Source organism: Homo sapiens, chromosome 16 (assembly GCF_000001405.40).
Source record: "Homo sapiens chromosome 16, GRCh38.p14 Primary Assembly".
NCBI classification, from domain to species: Eukaryota; Metazoa; Chordata; class Mammalia; order Primates; family Hominidae; genus Homo; species Homo sapiens.
This window is the reverse complement of record NC_000016.10, coordinates 54,330,637-54,336,698: the sequence shown is the minus strand read 5'-3', so window position 1 is coordinate 54,336,698 and position 6,062 is coordinate 54,330,637. Positions and strand designations below refer to the sequence as shown.

Below are 6,062 nucleotides of genomic sequence, written 5' to 3'. Positions count from 1 at the left end.
TTCATTAAAGGAGTGTCTTGGTCCTAAAATGGTCCACTGGGATCACGGCTTTGTGATAATGGGGGAATATCTGAGGATTACAGGATTCAAACACCAGCAGTCCATCCCTCCCCCACCTTCCTGCCCTCCTGCTAAGCTCGGGGCCACTCTGAGGCCTGAGATGACCCCACTTGCCCCTAGTGTCTCTGGCTTTTCTTATTCATCTCCCTGACCCTCCCAGGGGAAATTACCCCCACTCTAACAGAGGAAGCCACTCTCATTTCTAGGCGGGCTTTACCCAAAATGGTTAGAAAATGGGGGTATTCTCTTTAACTGAAAATCACCACATCTAGTGTGCATGGGATTACTAATGTTCTTTTTCCTTCCTTTTTTTTAAATTTTTTTCCCCGAGACGGAGTGTCGCTCTCTCACCCAGGCTGGAGTGCAGTGGCACGATCTCGGCTTACTGCAACCTCCGCCTCCTGGATTCAAGTGATTCTCATGCCTCAGCTTCCCAAGTAGCTGGGACTACAGGTGCTCACCACCATGCCCAGCTAATTTTTGTATTTTTAGTAGAGACGAGGTTTCAGTATGCTGACCAGGCTGGTCTCAAACTCCTGACTTTAAGTGATCCACCCGCCTCGGCCTCCCAAAGTGCTGGGATTACAGGCGTGAGCCACCGCGCCCAGCAGATATATATATATATATATATTTAGAGGAGTATCTACTCATTAAAATTCCCACAATACAGAAATATATTAAGTAGGAAATGAAATATACTCTCCCTCATAATCTTACTTCTCAGAAATAACCACTGTTAACTTTTTGATATATAGCATTCCAGATGGATGGATAGAAAAATCTTACTTTTTATATTAAGTATTTCAGGGGTTAATTCAATGAACATCCAAGAACACAGCACCCAGCTTAAGAAATAAAACATCACAGACAAAATTGAAAGCCACTGTTTCTTTCTTGCATCACGTTCTCCTTCCCTCCCCAAAAGTAATTTACATCTAGAGGTTATCATTTCCATACCCATTAATCTTCTACTAGAGTTATTGGTATCCATAACAATATGTAACTTTGTTTCACATGTTATTCCTCCTGAAGTATCGTAGCGTATGTACTCTTCTACAACTTGCTTTTTCTCCATCTACATTGTTTCCAGATGTTCCATGTTGTTATACTGTAGCATTATTTCATTCATTGGAACACTATGTCATATTTCATTGTGTAATTATGCCACAGTTTATCAGTTCTCCTCTTGAGAGGTATTTTGAATTGTTTCAAATTTTTCACTATACAAACAGTGCTGTGGTGAACTCATCTCCTTAAATACTTATGCAGGAGTTTCTCTGGAGTATAGAGCTAGAGATGGAATGTCTGGGTCATGGCATGAGTATCTTCAACTTTACTAAACATTGCCAAATTGCTCTCTAAAATGCTTGTACTAATTTATATTTCCACCATCGAATATAAATTAGTACAACCACTTTAGAGAACAATTTGACAATATTCAAATTTTCACTACATGAAAATTCCTGTTGCTCTATGTCCTTGCCAACAAAGTGCTGTCAAGCATTCAAATTTTTGCCAATCTATTGAATGTGAACTGATATTTCATGATTGTTTTCATTGCATTTTCATAAGTGCTAATGACATTGAGCACCTTTTTTATGTTTACTAGCCTTTCCAGGTGGCTCTTGTGTGAATTTCCTGTTTATACGCTCTACCCAGTTTCAATAGAGAAAGAGAGAGAGAGAGAGAGAGAGATTTTGTAACTTTAAACAAGTTGCAAAACAGTATACCATAAAAATTTTCTGACATATAATAAACATCATATGTAGTCCATATTCTGCCTGATATTCTCCAACATGCTTTTTAAACTCTTACTATAGCTTATACACCATACCAGACTAGCACTTTTTTATTTGTCTTATAATTGCACAATATACCTATGCTGTGATTTATAAGCCATTCCTCTATAGATGGACATTTAGATTGTTCTTATTTTTTTCCATTATAAATAATGAATATTTTGGTAGCAACGTATTTGGTTACAATTGCAACTGTTCCTGTAGAAGATGGGCAATTCTCAGTGAATTATAAATAGTATAAAACAAGAGAAAAATAGAATGCAATACAATTATAATCAAATAAGTTCAACATTCCATCTCTTCTAGACTTAACTCCTCCTCTTTTTTTTTTTTTTTTTTTTTAACAATTCAAGAAGTAACCTGAGAATAACCACTTTAAATATATTTTTGGCAAGATCTGATAAAGCTAAACATGCACCTATTTATGACTCAGCAATTCAACTCCTTAAGTACACAGCTAACAAAAATAAGTTTATACAGCCATAGAAAGACATGTATGAGAACCTTCACAACAGCTTTATTCACAAGTAACAAAGTTGTGCGCCAGCTGGGCACAGTGGCTCACTCCTATAATCCCAGCACTTTGGGAGAAAGAGGTGGGAGAATCGCTTGAGGCCAGGAGTTTAAGACACCCTGGGCAATATAGCAAGACCTTGTCTCCACCAAAAAATGTTTTTTAAAAATTAGCCAGGCGTGGTGACATGCACACGTAGTCTCAGCTACTTGGGAGGCTGAAGTGGGAGGATCGCTTGAGCCCAGGGGTTCAAGGTTACAGTGAGCTATGATCATGGCGCTGCCCTCCAGTCTGGGCAACAGATCCTTTCTAAAAAGCAAAACAGGCCAGGCACGGTGGCTCACGCCTGTAATCCCAGCACTTTGGGAGGCCGAGGCGGGTGGATCACAAGGTCAGGAGATGGATACCAGCCTGGCCAACATGATGAAACCCTGTCTCTACTAAAAATACAAAAATTAGCTGAGTGTGGTGGTGTGTGTCTGTAGTCCCAGCTGCTCAGGAGGCTGAGGCAGGAGAATTGCTTGAACCCGGGAGGGAGAGATTGCAGGAAGCCAAGATCACGCCACTGCACTCCAGCCTGGCAACAGAGTGAGACTGTCTCAAAAAAAAGCAAAATAAAACAAAACAAATTGTGCACCAGTGGATATGCATAATAAATAACACGATGGATCTCAAAGCATGATGCTGAACTGAAGAAGCCAGATGCAAAAGAGTACATATTCTACCCTCCCATTTATGTAAAGTTTAGGAACATGCACAACTAGTCTATAGTATTAGAGATAAGGATCAAGGCTACCTGTAAGGGGTCGAGTATTGGAGAGAAGGGGCAGCAGAACTTTCTGGAGTTTTGGAAATGCTCTCTATCTTGATCTGGGTCATGTATACATTTATAAAAATTCACTGAGTGCCAGGGGCAGTGGCTTACACCTGTAATCCTAGCACTTTAGGAGGTCAAGGCAGGAGATCACTTGAGGCCAGGAGTTCGAGACCAGCCTGGCCAACATGGCAAAACCTCATCTCTACTGAAAATACAAAAATTAGCTGGACCTGGTGATGCGTGCCTGTAGTCCCAGCTACTCGGGAGGCTGAGGCATGAGAATCGCTTGAATCCGGGAGGCGGAGGTTGTAGTAAGCTAAAGTCATGCCACTGCACTCCAGCCTGGGCAACAGAGTGAGACTCCATCTCAAAAAAAAAAAAAGAAAAATTCACTGAGTTTTCCCCTTAAATACTCGGTACTTTATATGTGTTGTGCTATAATTACAAACTGGGAGTGAGGGAGAAGTGGTCAAAGGATACAAAATGTCATTTAGACCTGAGGAATAAGTTCAGAAGAACTAACTTACAACATGGTGACTATTGTTAATAACAATGTATTGTATGCTTTTTTTTTTTATTTTTTGAGACAAGGTCTCACTCTGTCACCCAAGCTGGAGTGCAGTGGCGTGATCAAAGCTCCCTGCAGCCTCAACTTCATGGGCTCAAGTGATCCTCCTGCCTTGGCCTCCCAAGTAGCTTGGCCCACAGGCACTTGCCACCTCCCCGGCTAATTTTTTGTATTGTTGGTAGAGATGGGGTTTTGCCATGTTGCCTAGGCTGGTCTTGAACTCCTGAGCTCAAGGGATTTGACCGCCTCAGCTTCCCAAAGTGCTGGGATTCTATAAAACCACTGTGCTGGGCCATATTGTATGCTTGAAACTTGTTAGGAAAGCAGATTAAAAATTTTCTCATCACAAAAGAAGAAGGTACCATTTTCAGGTATATGCTAATTAGCTTGATTTAATCGTTTCACAATGTATACATATGGCAAAACATGATGTATATAATAAACACATACAGTTCTGATTTGTCAATTAAAAATAAAAATAAAAATAAATTGTTTTAAGCATAAATGTAAAAAAATTTATTTTTTAAACAACCTCATCAGTTTAATTGTCTGGATGATGGAGTTCTGCCTACATAAAAGAAAAGAAAGTGATTTTATTCAGATTCTGCTAAGTGCTAACCATGGGGCTAACATTTTCATAAATTTATTTCACTTAATAATTTTTATAGCTACCTCCATGATGTAGCTATGGTTGTTTCTTTTTTTTACAGATGAAGAAACAAGCGTGAAAAGTTTGGGAAATTTGTCTGAGATCACAGAGCCATTCACACTCTATTAATAACCATTAGGATTGTAACTGAAGCTGGGCACAGTGGTTCGGGTCTATATTCCCAGCACTTTGGGAGGCCAAGGCAGGAAGATTGCTTAAGCCCAGGAGCTCAAGGCCAGCCTGGGGAACAAAGACCCTGTCTCTACAAAAAATCAAAAAAATTAGCCAAGCATGGTGGTATGTGTCTGTGGTCCCAGCTACACAGGAGGCTAAGGCAGGAGGATCGCTTCAGCCAGGGAGGTCAAAGCTGCAGTGAGCCATGTTTGCACCACTGCACTCCAGCCTGGGCCACAGAGCAAGACCTAGTCTCAAAAAAAGAAAAGAAAAAAAGAATTGTAACTGAAATAGCTGACATGTATCAGGCACACCATACATTGGGAATTATTCTAAATGCTTTACCTGTTTTATCTCACGTAATCTGCAAAATGATCCTGTGGGACAGGCACCAGTATCATCCCCATTTTATAGGCAAGAAAACTGCAGCAGAGGGAGTCACTTTCTCAGGTCTCACAGCCAGTAAGGGAGGAACCAAGATCTTCTCGTTTCCGTATGACACAAGCCCCAGTTCTGTCTTTCCTAGCCCCAAGACAGTGTGTGGAATTTGTCTCCTACTGAGTGACACCAGGGATACTCTGCTCTGCTTCAGTTATGCAGGCAGCTGTTTGCTTTGTTTCAGGGTCTTCTGGTAGAAGCTTATGTTTATTTGTTGACTTGCTTTTCACACTCATCTACTTAGCAAGTCAGAAAACAGAGCAATTAAGCATCAAGCCCAAACATTCCAAGATAAATTAGCAGGCGGGTCTCCCCAAGGCAGAGGCTCAAGCAGAGGAGGGGGGCTGCGACAGGAGGATTCCCACTGTTATCCTGTGCACAGAGCCAGGCCTGGCCATCCCAGACCCCAGGGACCCTGGCGCTGATAATAAACTGGCAACGAGAGGCTTGTGGCTACATGTTTTCTGCAGAATTGGATACCACCTTGCGACCACATTTTAATGGGAAATACAGCTTGATGGATAAATTTCAGGGCTTTATGAAGAAATGGCAGAGTAAGTCAATAAGACCAGTTAGCCACTCCAGGTAAGGGAGGAGGGACCTGGAGGAGAAAAAAAGGAAGGGAAGAGAGCTGACCCACCAGCAGATTATTGTCCGGCTGAGGCCTGGCCAGTGCCACCACCAATCCTGTTACCTGGCAGGCCCTGCTGGGCACTGCATTCCTCGGCTACCAGAGCTGCAGTTCGGGCCACACTCAACCTATTGCCAGCTGATAAGTCATTTCTACAGGGGGCAATAAAAACCCCCAGGATCCATATCCCTGACTTCAAATCTATCCATCAGATGTCAGAGTGGACCACAGGCATGAGCCCCTCTCCCCATCTCAGCAGGGTAGGTAGTGTCCCCCAAGTGCCTCAGAGGGATGAAATCAGGCTGAGAAGAGAGGAAAGCAGGGCCCCGGGGTAGCCACAGGGACCCTGGGCTCACAAACAAGGACAAAAATAACAAGCTCAGCCACCAGGAATTGAGCACCTACTATGTAC

General features: G+C 42.2%; 1 annotated feature.

The window, feature by feature from the left end:
- Positions 4,943-5,652: an enhancer, noted in NCBI's record as "OCT4-NANOG-H3K27ac-H3K4me1 hESC enhancer chr16:54364959-54365668 (GRCh37/hg19 assembly coordinates)". NCBI's record gives its function as "activates a minimal SCP1, AML or CMV promoter by ChIP-STARR-seq in naive H9 embryonic stem cells {active_cell/tissue: H9 hESC(naive)}" and the evidence as "EXISTENCE:reporter gene assay evidence [ECO:0000049][PMID:30033119]".